Source organism: Homo sapiens, chromosome 2, assembly GCF_000001405.40.
Source record: "Homo sapiens chromosome 2, GRCh38.p14 Primary Assembly".
Taxonomy (NCBI): domain Eukaryota; kingdom Metazoa; phylum Chordata; class Mammalia; order Primates; family Hominidae; genus Homo; species Homo sapiens.
In genome coordinates this window covers 202,951,523-202,967,215 of record NC_000002.12, presented here as the reverse complement: position 1 = coordinate 202,967,215, position 15,693 = coordinate 202,951,523, and the positions used below count along the sequence as shown (strand labels likewise).

General features: G+C 37.5%; 1 protein-coding gene across 20 annotated transcripts in view, besides 1 other annotated feature; it reads right to left on the bottom strand.

Moving 5' to 3' along the window:
* The window catches only part of CARF (calcium responsive transcription factor), a 75,989-nt gene that overhangs the window by 21,048 nt on the left and 39,248 nt on the right, over nt 1-15,693 (bottom strand). For 14 of the 20 annotated variants that reach the window (XR_007081622.1, NR_148033.2, XR_007081643.1 and 11 more), the window contains 5 exons: nt 14,537-14,657; nt 13,082-13,211; nt 11,458-11,542; nt 5,790-5,979; nt 118-238 (listed from right to left, as the gene is read on the bottom strand). Coding sequence is in view for 12 of the 20 variants with exons in the window: in NM_001322428.3 (NP_001309357.1) it covers nt 118-238; nt 5,790-5,979; nt 11,458-11,542; nt 13,082-13,211; nt 14,537-14,657 (647 nt within the window). In the remaining 8 variants the exon portion in view is untranslated. The remainder of the gene's footprint in view (nt 1-117; nt 239-5,789; nt 5,980-11,457; nt 11,543-13,081; nt 13,212-14,536; nt 14,658-15,693) is intronic. The other 6 variants (NR_148034.2, NM_001352679.2, NR_136330.3 and 3 more) reach the window with 5 other exon arrangements.
* Nucleotides 1,103-1,152: an enhancer, noted in NCBI's record as "active region_17008". NCBI's record gives its function as "activates an Ori minimal core promoter by ATAC-STARR-seq in GM12878 lymphoblastoid cells {active_cell/tissue: GM12878}" and the evidence as "EXISTENCE:reporter gene assay evidence [ECO:0000049][PMID:35858748]".

Sequence of the window (15,693 nt, the reverse complement as noted above, 5' to 3'; positions counted from 1 at the left end):
AAAACTTAGAATTCACTGTATACTTTTTGGTACTGTATAAACCTAATAAAAATATGTGTATTAGCTATTCAAAAATAAGTTCTTAATAGAAAACAAATAAAAGAAAATAAAGCTTACCGAGCTGGACAAGTGGCTTTGTAGAGCTGACAAGACCTGCTTTCCTGCTCACTGACTTTTTTTAACTGGAAACCTTTTCTTCTTGGCCCATACTGACACTCCATTACCACAGCTCTACTCCCTGTGGGCCAAAACCAACTATTGATATTAATTCAAGTGTCCATCTATTCTAGACACTAGATTAAAAGTAACTTGGTGGTGGCAATGTCAAAATCTTTCAAATATACAGCTTTAAGGAAAGAAAACATTAGTAAGTCTTACTTACATATACAAACATATAAATTTAAAAGTTTATTTTAAAATTTACCAAAGGTACCATAATTATGGTAAGAAAATTAGTGAATATCACATTTACTGAGTGTCTACTGGCATATAATTTTTTTTTTTTTGAGACGGAGTCTCACTCTGTCACCCAGGCTGGAGCACAGTGGCGCAATCTTGGCTCACTGCAACCTCCACCTCCTGGGTTCAAGCAGTTCTCCTGCCTCAGCCTCCCAAGTAGCTGGGACTATAGGCGTGTGCCACCACGCCAGGCTAATTTTTGTATTTTTAGTAGACAGAGTTTTGTCTTGTTGTCCAGGCTGGTTTTGAACTCCTAAACTCAAGTGAACCGCCTGCCTTGGCCTCCCAAAGGGCTGTGATTTAGAGGCATGAGCCACTGCATCCCACCTGACATATGGTTTTTATACCATTTTATAAATAGTGAGCAAATGTTACATTTGGTTAATAAATATTGGTATCATTTAAATTTTTATTTCCTTTTATAATTATTTTCTTGTTTTTATTTGGGCTGTTAATACAGCAGCCAGCCCTAAGATGGCCCCCAGTAATCCATGCCTTCTAGCATTCATGTCCTTGAGTAATCCCCTCCCCTTGAATATGGGCTAGACTTACTAACTTACGTTTAATAAATATGGCCAAAGTGGTAGGAAGTAATTTTTGATATTAGGCTGCAAAAAGACTGTAACTATCATTTGGGTACTCTCTCTTACTCTTGCTTGAATTGCTCTCTCTGGAGGTAATCATCTGCCAAGTGGTAAGGGAGCTCTGTGGAAAGGCCCACGTGGCAAGGAATAAGGCCTGCTGACAGCCACAAGAGTGAATCTGAAAGTAGACCCTCCCTCAGTCAAGTCATGAGACAACTGCAGCAGAACCACTTTGCTGAGTCACTCTTGGATTCCTGACTCACAGAAACTGTGAGATAATTAACGTTTGTCGTTTTCAGCCACTACGTTTGGGATAATTTGTTACACAGCAATAGATAATACAAATAAGTAGATGTGAAAATTATATAACTTAAGATTTTAAGTTGAATATCTTACACTACTGTAGGATACAACAAACTTTTAAAATATAAAATAAAAACACCAATTACTAATACAAATGTTAATAAAGCTGACATTAAAATATAAAAACTTCTGTTTAAAAGACACCATAAGTAAATATAAAAGTAATAGTGTGAGAAATAGCATTTTATAAGATATATAACATAGTAATTGCCCATGTAGAATTACTATGTAGACTACAAACAATCATAAATAATTAATAAACAACCACTCAGAAAAATGTGCAAAGGCTATGAATAGCCAAGTCAGAAAGAAAAAAAAGGTAGTAAATGAACAAAGAAAAAGATGTTCAACTTTAAGTAAACAGGGAAATGCAAATTAAAACAATAGTAAAATACTATTTCATACTCCTTGGAATGGCAAAAATAAAAACATTCCATAATACTCTATAAAAACTGAATCCACTGATCAATCTGAACACCACAAACAGAGAGACACATACAGATGGCAATAAGTACACAGCACACCGAGGAGGTATTCTTGCAAAAATCAAATCTGCATTTAATCAAGGCTCTAGACCTGTTTACAGAAAATACAAGAGATAAAGAACAAAAACTACATCACACAGATGGAATAAGCAAAACCCAGAATATGGCAAATATTACAGAACAAACTACCTAGAAGAGGAGAGAAATCTTCAAATGAAAAGAAGTTTAAGAGATTTATTAACTAAATGCAGTCTGTGGACCCTGTTTGGATTTGAATTTCAACAACCTTTGAGGAGAGGAAAAAAAACCTGTGAGGTAAGTGGGAAAATGTAAATGCTGAACATTTTATAACATTACAAAGTTACTGTTAATTTTCTTATTAAGTGTGATCACAGGATTCTCATATATGTATGTGTGTGTGTGTATATATATATATATATACACATATATGTATATATATATATAAGGAGTCCTTATCTTTTAGAGATATATACTTTAGTATACACCATATACTTTAGTAATTACAGATGGAATGATATATCTGAAATGTGCTATAAAACCATCTAGGGAATGAGGAAGTGTAAGGGGTATGAGACAAGATTGACCATATACTGATAGTTGTTGAAGCTGGAAGATAGATACCTAGAGTCATGGGGTTTCTTATATTATTATCTCTACTTTGATTCACATGTAAAAATTTCCATAATGTAAAGGTTTTTTAAGGCTTTAAAAAACCTTTTTAAGGTGTGGGCACAGTGGCTCATGCCTGTAATACCAGCACTTTGGGAGGCTGAAGTGGGCAGATTGCTTGAGTGTAGGAGTTTGAGACCAGCCGAGGCAACATGGCAAAACCTCATCTCTCCAAAAAAATACAAAAATTAGCTGAGCATGGTGGCATATACCTGTAGTCCCAGCTACTCATGAAGCTGAGGCAGGAGGATCTCTTGAGCCAAGGAGATTGAGATTGCAGTGAGCTGAGATCACACCACTGTACTCCAGCCTGGGTGACAGAGTGAGACCCCGACTCAAAAAAACAAACAAACAAACAAACAAAGATTTTTAAACATCTGGCAATGCTAAGTCATGAAGTAAAAGTGGGGAAATGAAATTTTCACACACTGCTGACAGGAGTGAAAATTGGTACAAGCTATCAAACCCTTATGTACAAATCTGAAATCCAAAAAGCTCAGAAAACGGTTTTTTCAGGACTCACTTGGCTGCGAAACCAGGCCTGAGCTGTGTGAGGTTATAGTCTTTATTTGTTTCTCTTGGTGTGGCTATCTATCTAATAAAGAATTGGTGTTTGATTATGTGATATTGGCTATAACAGGGGTCTCTAACCTCCAGACTGGACCACTACCAGTCTGTAGCCTGATAGGAACCAGGCCGCACAGCAGGAGGTGAGCAGTGGGCAAGCCAGCAAAGCTTCATCTGTATTTACAGCCACTCCCTATCACTTGCATTACCTCCTGAGCTCTGCCTCCTGTCAGATCAGTGGCAGCATTAGATTCTCATAGAAACACGAACCCTATTATGAACTGCACATGCAAGGGATCTAGGTTGCTGGCTCCCTATCAGAATCTAATGCCTGATGATCTCTCACTGTCTCCGATCACCTCCAGCTCAGACCTGCTAGTTGCAGGAAAACAAGCTCAGGGCTCCCACTGACTCTACATTCTGGTGAGTTGTGTAACTATTTCATTACATATTACAATGTAGTAATAATAGAAATAAAGTGCACAATAAATGTAATGTGCTTGAATCATCCCGAAACCATCCCCCATCCCCCATCCTGGTCCGTGGAAAAACTGTCTTCCACAAAACCAGTCCCTGGTGCCAAAAATATTGGGGACTGCTGGTCTATAGAATACCTGCTAGGAGTATTCCATAATGTTACCATATTACATTCAAAAAATTCAGAATTCTGAAATATACCTGGTCCAAAAAAATTCAAAGGGATTCTGGACCTGTACAATCACTTTTGAGAGCAATTTTTTTTTTTTTTTTTTGAGACGGAGTCTCGCTGTCGCCCAGGCTGGAGTGCAGTGGCATGATCTCGGCTCACTGCAAGCTCCGCCTCCTGGGTTCACGCCATTCTCCTGCCTCAGCCTCCCGCGTAGCTGGGACTAGAGGCACCCGCCACCTCGCCCGGCTAATTTTTTGTATTTTTAGTAGAGATGGGGTTTCACCGTGTTAGCCAGGATGGTCTCGATCTCCTGACCTCGTGATCCACCCGCCTCGGCCTCCCAAAGTGCTGGGATTACAGGCGTGAGCCACTGCGCCCGGCCTTGAGAGCAATTTTAAGATAATCTTGTAAAGATGAAATGGGCATAATTCACAACCAGCAATTCTACTTTAAGGCATATACTCTAGAAAAACTAATTACAGCTTTTCATTAAAGTATATATAGTGTGGAGGTTTGACTACAGCATTCTTTGTAATAATGAAAAGTTGGAAACAACCTAAATGATGATCAATAGAAAAATACTTGTGGTTTGGTCACATGCTGGAATATTATACAATGATTAAATTGGATTAACTAGGATTTATAACTATCAATACCAATAAATGTAAAAAAAAGGGTGAATGAAAATATTTGCAAAACAATATCTACATTTTACTATTTATACATTTTTTAAAAATCCAAAACAATAAAATGTATTATTGTAGATACAATATGTAAGGTAAAGTATAAAAATACAGACTAGAACGATACACATGAAATTCATGTAGTAGCTACCTATGGAGGGTTAAGGAGATTAAAACTAGGATGGGAAAAAGGAAGACTATAGGATTTCAAGTTCATTTTATTATTTGTTAATTTTTTTTTTTTAAAGACAGGGTCTTACTCTGTCACCCAGGCTGAAGTTCAGTGGCATGATCACGGTTCACTGCAGCCTCGACCTCCAAGGGTCAAGTGATCCTTCCACCTCAGCTTCCCAAATAGCTGGGACTACAGCCCCATGCCACCATGTCCAGGTAATTTATTATTTTTTGTAAAGATGAGGTCTCCCTGTTTTGCCCAGGTGGGTCTCAAACTCGTGAGCTCAAGCAATCCTCTCGCCTTGGCCTCCCAAAGTGCTGAGATTAGAGGCATGAGCCTCCACGTTTAAAATAAATAAATAAATATATAAATAACCCAGCTCATTTATTTTTAATGCTGCATTTCTTTTATAGAATACTGATGAAACTCAGGCAGAAGTGGTTACATTTATCTCATCTTAAGTATATCTCATTAACCTCAGAGGTCCAGGATGAAACTGCAACTCTTTCAGCTAAATTAGTGCCCTCATAGTCCTAAAATAAATCGCTTAGTTTTAGATTCTTTGGGGCTCTAACTAGTCTAAGAGATTTGCTTGAAACTCTACTCCCTTAGTAAACAACTAACCCAGTGTCTGAGAATACTGTATATAACATACCTAATGCTTGAGAACTTTAGTATCAGAATTCTATAACTCTAGATTGTATACAAATTCTATACAGTAACTCCAGAGTTACAAGCTACATAAAATAGACATAAATTTCTCCCACAATACAAATTAAGAGAGAAGGCTAAAATATTTAATCTGAAGGGGAAAAACACAGCTGATGTACATATTTAAAATAAAATTGCTCTTTTAACATTTTATTAAATAGGTTTAATGGAAACTTCGATATTTTATTTTTCAGTATAATATATGAAAGAAGTCTTATTTATTCATTGATATATTAAAATGCAATATTATAAAGTAATTGATTATATTTTCTATAAGTTTTTTCAATTTAATATGCATTTTAATCAATTAGCATTCAATTGTCAGCTACCAAAATAAAAATGTTATCACCTTAGGAAAATCACATTTTGACAATGGACTATGGCTGCTGCTGAACCTTTTAAAATAATTCTTTAAAAAAGTACCTGCATTAACAAATGGGATTCCATCATATGGAACATACTGGGATTTCCACATCAAGCGTGTAGCAGGCTTGGCTGGGCTTGGAGACTGACGGGTCCCCCAAACACTCTGTGTTTGCTGCTTGTGAAATGTTAGGACACTTTCTAATTCAGTCTCACTTACACAGTAGCCACGGTATGAATCTCCAATTTTCTGCATGTGGTAGAAATTAAACAAAATTACTAGCAATACACTTCATTGCATAATAAATGTAATGAGATGGTTGTCCAAAATGGAAGACTCATCACCTTTCACAAGAGAATGTCATTTGTGCCCTCAGATCAATGGTCTATTACAATCAGTGGGTCTGATTTGAGTTCAACCAGGTGTTTGTTAGGGAATATAATGCCAAACTCATTGCCATACTATCTTTATCAACGTCTTGTTTGAGACAAAGAATATTTAGAAAAGATAACTTGCAAGAACATATAATGTATATCAATTCTTTCAGATATTTAAAACTTTACCCTGGATCAATCCAGATCAGCGTAAAACTAGCCACAAAGTACTCATTTCCTATGGGGCCTCCTTTACTGAAACTGATTTTTTTTGGTGGAGTGAGGTTGGAAGGAGAAAGGAAAGAGGAGGGAAGGAAGGAGGGAGGGAGGGAAGGAGGGAAGGAGAGAAGGAGGGAAGGCAGGAAGGCGGGAAGGCGGGAAGGTGGGAAGGCGGGAAGGCGGGAAGGTGGGAAGGCAGGAAGGCAGGAAGGCCTGAGATTAATTTTGATAGGATGCCATGCATCTGTTAGAAACCCAATGAAAACTGTGAGTGATTGATAAAAAGGCTGTAGAAAAATTTGCTCATTATATCAACATTCTTTTTATGAAGATCCTTCTCTGAGGCCGGGCACAGTGGCTCATGTCTGTAATCCCAGCACTTTGGGAGGCCAGGGTGGGCAGATCACCTGAGGTCAAGAGTTCGAAACCAGCCTGGCCAATATGGTGAAACCCCATCAGTACGAAAAATACAAAAATTAGCTGGGCGTGGCGGCACTTGCCTGTAGTCCTAGCTACCTGGGAGGTTGAGGCACAAGAATCCCTTGAACCTGGGAGACGGAGGTTGCAGTGAGTTGAGATTGTGCCATTGCGCTCCAGCCTGGGCAACAGAGCAAGACTCTGTCTAAAAAAAAAAAGAAGATCCTTCTCTGAGAGAAATTTCTGTCTGGTCTTAGTACCAAAAATAGTTAATGGTTTGCTTTTATCTTATGGAAATTAGCATAATTTTTAAATCTAAAAGGCACAGAATTTAGTAACTATGCTTCCCCTTTTGAAAAGCATATACCTAGATTATAGACAAGTACATGTATACATGCACACACACACAGTTGGTTAAGACATGTATTTTCTTACTTCCATTTATGTTCCCATCCTTGTCTTTCTTTATTGTTTAGCTCCCACTTTTAATTTCTACCTTGCTAATATATTTTACGTATTTTTTGTAAGCTCTCTTAAATTCCTTCTAAAACAAGGAAAGGTGTAAATAAATAATGTAAATTAATTGATATTATCTATATACAACCATTTGAGTATCCTCGTACTAGAGGAGAAACTTTTTCTTTTCTTTTTTTTTTTTTTGTTTTTGAGATGGAGTTTCACTCTTGTTGCCCAGGTTGGAGTGCAATGGCACTATCTCATCTCACTGCAACCTTCATCTCCCGGGTTCAGATGATTCTCCTGCGTCAGCCTCCCAAGTAGCTGGGATTACAGGCGTGCATCACCATGCCTGGTATTTTTAGTAGAGACAGGGTTTCGCCATGTTGACCAGGCTGGTCTCAAACTCCTGATCTCAGGTGATCTGCCTGCCTCAGCCTCCCAAAGTGATGGGATTACAGGCATGAGCCACTGCACCCAGCTGGGGAGAAACTTTTTTTTCAATACCAACAGAAAAAACATGTTAACTGTGATCTCTTACAATGAAATGCAGAGACCTAGAATTGACTCCATGTATGTTTCCCCCTTAGAGGAAATAAGAACAGAGATGTGGGCAGAAAGGAAGAATACATTTAACAAATAGAAAGGTATCAAAATACTGTTGTGGCTGTACTTTTCGTTATAATAGTTAAGAGATAATCTGATGCCAAACAATACATTATCTGCAATTTCCTCTAAAATAATGAAAATGCTTATAATTTTTCTGCTAACCTAGACAACTCTATCAAAATATTCACCACAAATAAATGGATATAAATTTTAGCTATACTATAATTTACTTATAAATAAAATTAGAATATATGTCAATAAAGAAAAAATCAGTATAATATAATCAGAACTATATATACTTATAAATAGGCTTACAGATAACATTTTAATACAGTATTGACATTTGTCCAGTTAATACACTTTAGTCAAATCTGAAAAAAATGCCTATAGTAAAACATCATTAAATGAGAAATTCAAAAAATAAAAGATTACTAAACAATATTTTGAACCAAAATGCAGAAAATATTTCCTCAGCCATTAACCCAATTTTTTTTTTTTTTTTTTTTTGAGACGGAGTCTCCCTCTGTCACCAGGCTGGAGTACAGTGGTATGATCTCAGCTCACTGCAACCTCCACCTCCTGGGTTCAAGCGATTCTCCTGCCTCAGCCTCCCGAGTAGCTGGGACTACAGGCATGCGCCACCATGCCAGATTAATTTTTGTATTTTTAGTAGAGACAGGGTTTTACCATGTTGGCCAGGATGGTCTCAATCTCTTGACCTCGTGATCCACCCGCCTCAACCTCCTAAAGTACTGACAGACGTGAGCCACCGCACCCAGCCAACTCAAAAATTTTTTTATCACTGATACAGCTTGGGAGAGGAGAAAGAACCCCTCACTGGGAAAGAAGTGGTTCATCTTGGACAACCATACTCAAGTCTGTTGGACAGGAGTACTCAGTTTCTTACAAGATATACGATGATTTTAGGTAAGCCACACAATGCACTATAGTTGTAACATAAGGTGATTTGGTTGCATGATTGTTTTAATAAATGCTCTAATATCCATAGCATTCCATGAGGCTTGTAATAATGATTTTTAAAACCCTCATCAAACAATCACAACAGTAACTTTAGGAAACCACTGAAAAACCATGACTAACAAAAGGTAGGGGGACAAAAAGCTAAAACTACACACACACACACACACACACACACACACATATATGTATATACATACATGTACTCTACTTAGAAAAGCAACAACAATAATGTCCTAACAAATGTAATATATATAGCACAAGGTTTTTTATGAGAAATTTTCTCAAATTATTAAAATAGAATATTTTTTCTTTCCCACATTTTAAGATTTGTTTAAAACAATGAAGCATTCTGATAGTTAAATATTCACTACCATCTATGGTTTGTATATAGAGTAGGCATGGTCCCTTTCCTCAAAAAGTCTAATTTTTATGTAACAGTGAACAACCCACGCTAGTAAATAATTTTATTTTTTAATTTTTTTTTTTGAGATGGAGTCTTGCTCTGTCACGGACTGGAATGCAGTGGCGTGATGTTGGCTCACTGCAACCTCCATCTCCTAAAATCAAGCGATTCTCCTGCCTCAGCAGCTGGGACTACAGGTGCCCACTACCATGCCCGGCTAATTTTTGTATTTTTAGCAGAGATGGGGTTTCGCCACGTTGGCCAGGCTGCTCTCGAACTCCTGACCTCAAGTGATCTGCCCGCTTTGGCTTCCCAAAGTGCTAAAATTAGAGGAGTGAGCCACCGCACCCGGCCTAAGCTAGTAAATAATTAAGAATGACAATTAATACTAAAGAATTTAAAGAGAGAAATAGATAAAGGCTAAAATAATCATTAGATAATTTATAGAAAAGACATGTAGGACTTGCATTGGGATTTGAAGAATAGTTAGAAATGGTAAGTAGAAGAAAAAAGTAACATATAGGAAAAGGAAATAAAAATGGGTAAAGGGAGAGCTAAAGAAAAATTCTGGAGTATCTGTCAAAAGTAGGAGGACTAGGCTAGCAAGAATGAAGATGAGTTTGAGAAAAGTAGGAAATAAAGTAGGACAACGTAGGATGATACCAGATTATGAAAGGCCTTTGAAGCTAGCTACAGTGGCTAAATAATGTGGAAAAAATAACATGACTTATTGGGCACTGAGAAAAGACAATTAAAACAATCTTCAAATACAAGTAGCCTTAGAAAAATATACATTAGGGACCAGAAATGGGAGGGTCAAAGATGTTAGGGGGCAGGCTATTCCTGTAATCAAGCACAAGAGGACAAAGGCCTATTGAAAAATGGGCCAAAAAGAAAAAGATACTTTAAAGGAAAAACTAAAAGAATCTGGTGACTACTTCTGGGCGCGGTGGCTCATGCCTGTAATCCCAGCACTTTGGGAGGCTGAGGCGGGAGGATCACCTGAGGTCGGGAGTTCGAGACCAGCCTGACAAACATAGCAAAACCCTGTCTCTACTAAAAATACAAAAATTAGCTGAGCGTGGTGGCACGCGCAAGTAGTCTCAGCTACTCAAGAGGCTGAGGCAGCAGAATCGCTTGAACCTGGGAGGTGGAGGTTGCAGTGACCTGAGACAGCGCCACTGCACTCCAGCCTGCGTGACAGAGCGAGACTCCATCTCAAAAAAATAAAAAAGAAAAAGAATCTGGTGACTACCTAAATGTGGGAAAGCAAGAAATTAGTACAAAACTTTATGCCTGGGTGTCTAAGGAAACGGTATTTGTCATTACACAGACATGGAATTTTGGAAGTGGAGCTAGTTGTTGCATGGTAGATGATTTCAGTATGGGATATGGTGAATTTGAGGTGAAATTCAAATAAACCTTCAAGCAAGTAGCCAGATATCTGGGACAAGAGGAAGGCAGAATTCAAAATCTGGCCTGGCGCAGTGGTTCACACCTGTAATCCCAGCACTTTGGGAGCCTGAGGTGGGTAGATCACCTCAGGAGTTTGAGACCAGTCTGGCCAACATGGTGTAATCCCATCTCTGCTAAAAATACAAAAATTAGCCAGGTGTGGTGGCACATGCCTGTAGTCCCAGCTACTCAGGAGGCCGAGGCACAAGAATCGCTTGAACCCAGGAGGCAGAAGTTGCAGTGAGCTGAAATTGCACCACTACACTACAGCCTGGGGGACAGAGGGAGACTCTGTCTCAATAAATAAATAAATAAATACATAAATACATAAATAAATAAACTGGTGATACGGACTTGAAAATCATTTTTGTAGATGTCAGTTGAAAGTCAACAAAGTAGGTAAGTGCTCCAAAAGACAAAATATAGAGAAAAAAGACAAAGTCAGAAAGTGAGCCTTGAAGAATTTTCTACTGATAATATGAAAAAAAAAAAATAAGTGCAAGCAAAGAAAGAAAATAAATGGTTGAAAAGTAAATAGTAGAGAAACATGATAGTGAAGTTTCATGGACTACGAGGGAAGAGAGTTGCAAGAGAAGAAATAATAGTGAAATGTAAAGAGATATATATAACCTCTGCTTTAACAGAGCTTAGAATCTCTAAGAATTCAACAATAGATGAGATCAGATTTAACATAAACACAAACAAAATACTGTAACTATAGACTATATTAGTTGTACTCAAAAGTGGCATTTGGGGATGACCTGTGGTTATAATCAGTTAAGTAATTCTAGGTAATGATTATTTATAACTCACCTCACAGCTCCTAAGACGGCAGGCCCATATAGGTGTATTAGAAGAAAGTGGCTGAAGAGGCCCCAGAAGGGGTTCTTCCAGCATTCTGGGATAGGAGAGGAATATATATAAATATGCAGTTCAATGAACACACAAAATGCATTCAACTGCTTTATCCTCTTAGTATCAAAGACAAATATTGAAGTCATCAATAACAAATTTTAACAATAACTACAGATTGATCTGATGGGTGCATTAGTTATTATTTTCTTTAACCACTGCTATTTTATTAACTGCTAAGTCAAAGACCTAAATTTCTTCTTCCAGATACACGTAGTCCCAACAACTTTAAGTGTTTCATATATCTCTCCCAAAGCTTATTTTGTGCTCTTATTATATAACTGTTTTCATTTATCAAAAAAATGATAAATTTGACTAGTTTGAAGTAACATTATGTGTCACTTCTTGGACTTTTGGCTAAGATCAAGTGAAAAGCAACATTATTAAGGTCTGAAATTAAATGTCAAAAATAATGTCTTAATTCAAAAATACTTTTATGGAACAATTAAAATAACATAAACAATACATAAGCCATGTACATATTTCCCTAAAATATCATAGTATTATTTTAAAACAAAAACAAAAACTGAAATAAAAGTTAGCAAAAAGCATTTTAAACATTTTGCCACAGAGGAATTCTATGCATAAAAATGTGATAAAACAAATTTAAAAATTTAGGAACTATAATGAATTTTTTTTTTTTTTCGAGACAGCGTCTCGCTCTGTCACCCAGGCTGGAGTACAGTGGCACAATCTCGGCTCACTGCAAGCCCTGCCTCCCAGGTTCACGCCATTCTCCTGCCTCAGCCTCCCAAGTGGCTGGGACTACAGGCGCCGGCCACCACGCCCGGCTAATTTTTTTTTTTGTATTTTTAGTAGAGACGGGGTTTTACCGTGTTAGCCAGGATGGTCTCAATCTCCTGACCTCGTGATCCGCCTGCCTTGGCATTCTAAAGTGTTGGGATTACAGGTATAAGCCACTGTGCCCAGTCTTTTTTTTTTTTTTTTTAAATGATGTCTCGCTCTGTCACCCAGGCTGGAGTGCAGTGGTGCAATCTCAGCTCACTGCAACCTCCGCCTCCCGGGTTCAAGCAATTCTCTGCCTCAGCCTCCCAAGTAGCTGGGATTATAGGTGCCCACCACCACACCCAGCTAATTTTTGTATTTTTAGTAGAGATGGGGTTTCACCATCTTGGCCAGGCTGGTCTTGAACTCCTGACCTCGTGATCTACCTGCCTTGTCCTCCCAAAGTGCTGGGATTACAGGAGTGAGCCACCGCACCTGGCCATGAATGTTTCTTTATTCTGAAAAGTCTGTTAATGTCAGACTAAATAAACTAATAAAATTTTCATACTGTTTCAAAAGATAACAGATGTCACTGAGGAAAAGTGGCACTTTTGACATTTATAGCTTCCAGAATAGCCGCCTTATGACCAAGATGCCTTAAAATAACTAAAGATATATTCAATGATAGTTCCTTCTATCTTCTGATTTTCTCTATAGTCTGCCAGCTTTAAATGTGTAATTTGTAAAAAGATTTCCATGGTGATATTAAAAGATGAGCTTCTCTTTCCCGTGGACTCACCCGGTCACTGACTTTTTGGGCAATGGGAAGGATGTTTGAGGATGAAGAATGTAATTGCTGGTATTGTCTGCTAGAGTATCCACTCTTACAGTTGGTAAGTTTCTGTTACTGGGTTTCTCTTCAGGGACATCTTAACAACAAAAACAAGAACAAAGTAACATCAATATCTTGAATAAGACCATAAGAATATACCTAACTAAAACTTATGTATTTGTAATAGGTAAAGAAAATTTATGCTTTATTGAGAGTAAAGGAATAATGCTTTATTGAGAATTTCTCTGATACTTGTTTACTTTAAATTATAATACTGACTACTGTAATTTTATAATTTTTAGAATTTATATTGAACAGCCAGGATATAAAAGTGGTAGAAATAATTGTATATTAAGAGTTCTGCAATATATAGGAAAATGTAAAACTAATTTTGTTTATATACTGTGCTCATAATGTTTTCTGCAATCTATGTTTTTCTCTTAATGTCTTAATGACTATTAACAAAGAATGATAACACTAAGGTAAAAATATCTGCCCTAAACCATTAGCTATGAAGAAGCAACATAACAGTATAGCTATGAGGTTGGAAAAGAGATTCAAATAGAGGGAAAAGGGAGGAAAGCAAAAAAAAAAAAAAAAAAACAACAAAAAAAGAGTAATAGGCATATTACCAAACAGGTAAAGAAAGACTATACAAGGAGAAATAGGGAGCATGATTCTCTTTTCTGAATCTGAAGGAGCCAAGGAAAGAGGAAAAGAGCAAGAGGATAAAAAAAAAAAGTAATGAGTCACATGGCTAATAAAAATATTGATAAAGATATAAATGGCTGGGCGAAGTGGCTCACGTGCATAATCCCAGCACTTTGGGAGGCGGAGGCAGGTGGATCACCCAAGGTCAGGAGTTCAAGACCAGTCTGGCCAACATGGTGAAGCCTCGTCTCTACTAAAAATATAAAAATTAGGCATGGTTGCAGGCGCCTGTAATCCCTGCTACTCAGGAGGCTGAGGCAGGAGAATTGCTTGAACCTGGGAGTCAGAGGTTGCAGTAAGCCGAGATCATGCCACCAATGTACTCCAGCCTGGGGGATAGAGCGAGACTCTGCCTCCAAAAAAAAAGATATAAATAAAAACTTCTGAAGCTATTAACATTATATTCTTGCTATTGTTGCTGTTATTATTACTGTTATCATTAATAATAATTTATTTTATGCTCATTGGTCATTTGGGAGGAAGCAGGAGTCAATCAGCTTCATAGAATTCTTAAATGAAATAGCTAACCTAGACAGGAGTTGAAAAATGAACTTTGAATTTATTTGGGCAAAGAGCTGTTTTCTAATTATTTAATTCATAATCTTTTACCTAAAGAAATCAACTTTAGCACTGACTTTCATAAGGTGATTTTTCTAAAATATTTATGTTTTTAAAACACTCTCAAATCCCCTATATCCCGTTGTTACTCACCCCGAGGACTATTCACATCCACAAGTTGCCCCTGAGGTATAATCACTTGTGCCATTCCTGTCTGGGTAGGTGGAATTACACGAAGTACCTGTCCATTTTCTGTTGGGCTGGCAACGATCATCTTGGAAGCATTAAAAAAAAAAAATCAAATGCATATGCCTAGACTGATTTAACAAAAATTATTAATTAAATAAATTATTAAACACATACCTAGCTCTATGATGGATTCTATGATTTCCCCCATTTTATAGATGAAAACATTGAGGCACATAAACATTTTTTTCCAAGGTCTCACAACTTATAAGTGGTGAAGCCAGGATTAAAAACAGGCAATTTGACCCTAATCCTAGGGTCTTAACCACCAATGGTCTTAATCATTACACATGGATGAAGTCTAATTACTTGGTAATCTGAACAAGTCTGTCTGGATGTAATACATTTACCTTTTGCCACTTACTGTATTATTCATACATGTTTCACCTATTTGTGTGGCAACCATTTGTCTTATATTTAAAGTCATCTTCCTTCGTTTAAAAATGGTAACATGTTGGTCAGGCATGGTGGCTCATACCTGTAATCCTAGCACTTTGGGAGGCCAAGGAAGGCAGATCACGAGGTCAGGAGTTCGAGACCAGCCTGATCAACATGGTGAAACCCTGTCTCCACTAAAAATACAAAAATTAGCTGGACATGGTGGCACGCGCCTGTAATCCCAGGTACTCAGGAGGCTGAGGCAGGAGAATCACTTGAATCTGGGAGGCAGAGGTTGCAGTGAGCCGAGATCGCGCCACTATACTCCAGCCTGGGCGACAGAGCGAGACTCTGTCTCAAAAAAAAAAAAAAGGTAACTTGATAAATGTCTAATTAAATAGGATTTATTTTGGTATCTCAGCATTTATATATAGTCTCTATGGTTCATAAAGAACGGTACTACAAAGTGCCTCAAAAGTCTGAAAACACAGGGAAAATAGTATATTTATTGTACTTTTTTTCAGTTTAACAACTAAACCTACTCTATCAAATTTAGAGCAATATCAACTAAAAAGACATATGAAGTTGAAGAAAAACTTTTGGACCTATCATTTGGAAGTATAGCTAATACAGTATTTGAATTTAAGTCTATCTGATGCTTCCAGACTTCCAAAAAGTCTGGAAGC